The sequence below is a fragment of the Homo sapiens genome, chromosome 1, assembly GCF_000001405.40.
Source record: "Homo sapiens chromosome 1, GRCh38.p14 Primary Assembly".
Lineage (NCBI taxonomy): Eukaryota > Metazoa > Chordata > Mammalia > Primates > Hominidae > Homo > Homo sapiens.
In genome coordinates, this window is record NC_000001.11 from 115878386 (window position 1) to 115880648 (window position 2263).

At 43.1% G+C, this 2263-nt stretch overlaps 1 annotated feature.

Moving 5' to 3' along the window:
- Positions 1516–2055: an enhancer, noted in NCBI's record as "NANOG hESC enhancer chr1:116422522-116423061 (GRCh37/hg19 assembly coordinates)". NCBI's record gives its function as "activates a minimal SCP1, AML or CMV promoter by ChIP-STARR-seq in naive H9 embryonic stem cells {active_cell/tissue: H9 hESC(naive)}" and the evidence as "EXISTENCE:reporter gene assay evidence [ECO:0000049][PMID:30033119]".

Consider the following 2263-nt stretch of genomic DNA (forward strand, 5'->3'; position numbering starts at 1 on the left):
CTCAACAGGCAGGCTGGCTCTGGAGCTTTTGCTCTTCCCCTTGACTCTGAGAGGCTTTCAGCAAAGCAATGGATAATGAGCATCAACATGCCTTTCATGACAACAGGAGGAAATGCAGTCTGCACAGGCTGCAGTGAGGCACAGTAGCACTCGTTTAAGCAGTCGCAGGAAGAGAAGTTCAAGTGAAGCCTCCCTGCCATTTTGGAAGTCCTGGAACAATACCTTAGGCTGCAGCATTAAATACTGGTGATATGTGAGCACTTTTGACCTATAAAAATGGTAGTTTTACGTGTTCCAGCCTAATACTTTATCCTCTCTTGCCTAATACTTTTTCATATTCTTTTACCTGGACGTGTGTAGTGCTTGTTGGACCATTTTCAGATGTCACATAGCTGGGATTGATACCTAGTGAGATAATTGCAATACAGAAAGGTCATTACAGTTTGGAGAACGGGGATGAAACTATCACAAAATGAATTTTAACAGAAATAAATGTGAAGCTCTGAATTCAGTTTTAAACATTTAGTCTCCACAAGGATAGGGTGAGAGAGACCTGATTAACCAAAGTTCCTGTGAAAGCACAGGATTTTTGGTCTCCACCAGCTTTCTTGAGTCCCCAGGTGCTGAGGTAATTGGGGCGGTCAAGGAATACGGGGCTGGATAAAACAACCTCACGTTGATCATTTAACTCTGTCTAGGGGACCAAAGTGCCAGGGTTGGGGGCAGTCCTCTGACATGCACAAGGTGTTAAAAGAAGGGTGTTTATTGTACACCGAGCAGTGGAGAATTTGGAATTTTTAGCCTGAAGAGGCTTGGGGAAAACTGATAGCAGCCTTCAAGTATTTAAAGGGATACTATTCATAAATCAAGAAACATTTACTGAGTACCTGCCACATGAAAGGAGGAGCACTGTGTGCTGTGAGAGACTGAAAAATGAGAAAGAATGCTATCTGACCTCAAGAAGTTTATTAATAGAGAGGGGTTGTCTGACCCAGAGACAACTAATACAGGGGGTAAATCAACAGTTGCTATAATAGAGACACAAATAAATCATAATCATTAAGTGTTCTTTCCTTTCTTAACAGATATTTGTAGTACAAAGAACTTCAAATATCTGAAAGAAGTAGAGAGAGGTATAAGAGGTGTTAGGAGACTTAAGGAGAAACAGGCTTCTCTGACCTACAGGGAAATTGTTGCCTGTTTAGTCCAGTCTATTTTCCATTAAACATTCTGTCTTGCTCAGCTTCACGAATAAAAACAGGGAAATAAAGCAACTTTCTTTTAATTGTATTTACTACAAGACTTATTTGATGGTAATTTCCTTCAGTACAATTATTTATGGATTTACTTATATTCTGCTTTTCAGCTTCTTTTACTTTTATTTTTTGAGATGGGGTCCCGTTATGTTGCCCAGGCTGGTCTCGAACTCCTGGGCTCAGCAATCCTCCCACCTAGGCCTCCCAAAGTGCTGGGATTACAGGCATGAGCCACTGCGCCTGACCTCAGCCTCTTTTTTTCGGCCTGCATACACATGCACTTACATGCACACACACACACATATGCACACACACACACAGACACACACACACACACACAAGCACAGTGATTCCAACAAGGAGATCTAGTTTTTACTTAAACAAAGGAAGGAGTCACCTCTATAGTGTGATTTGAGGGTTGAGGTACCAAGGAAAGCAGCTACCCCTATCCCAATCTTATAAAACCACTTCTTTTGTCATAGGATCCAACGCTACCATTCATGAATCATCCCTTGAGTGCCCCCTCCTGGCTCCCCAGAGAGTCCTGGGGGGAGTTCCTCTTTGAAGTCTTCACAACCAATTTAAGTTGTGAGCTGCCAGTCTTCTTTGTGACAGCCAAGTGTACCATGAGAGTACCACAGGAGTGTATGGTGGGGGTTGTATTTCAGGAAATAGAAAGGATGAAATATTAGGATCAACTAAGCAGATTTCACCAACCTTACATTTTTTTCCCTGCAGTTAACTCATCATTATCTTCATTCATGTTCTCAAGACAATCCTTAATAAAGTATTAAACAATCATTTGGGGCCGGGCACAGTGGCTCACGCCTGTAATCTCAGCACTTTGGGAGGCCGAGGCGGGCGGATCATGAGGTCAGAATTTCGAGACCAGCCTGGCCAGCATGGTGAAACCCCGCCTCTACCAAAAATACAAAAAATTAGCCAGGCATGGTGGCACACACCTGTAGTCCCAGCTACTCGGGAGGCTGAGGGAGGAGAATTGCCTG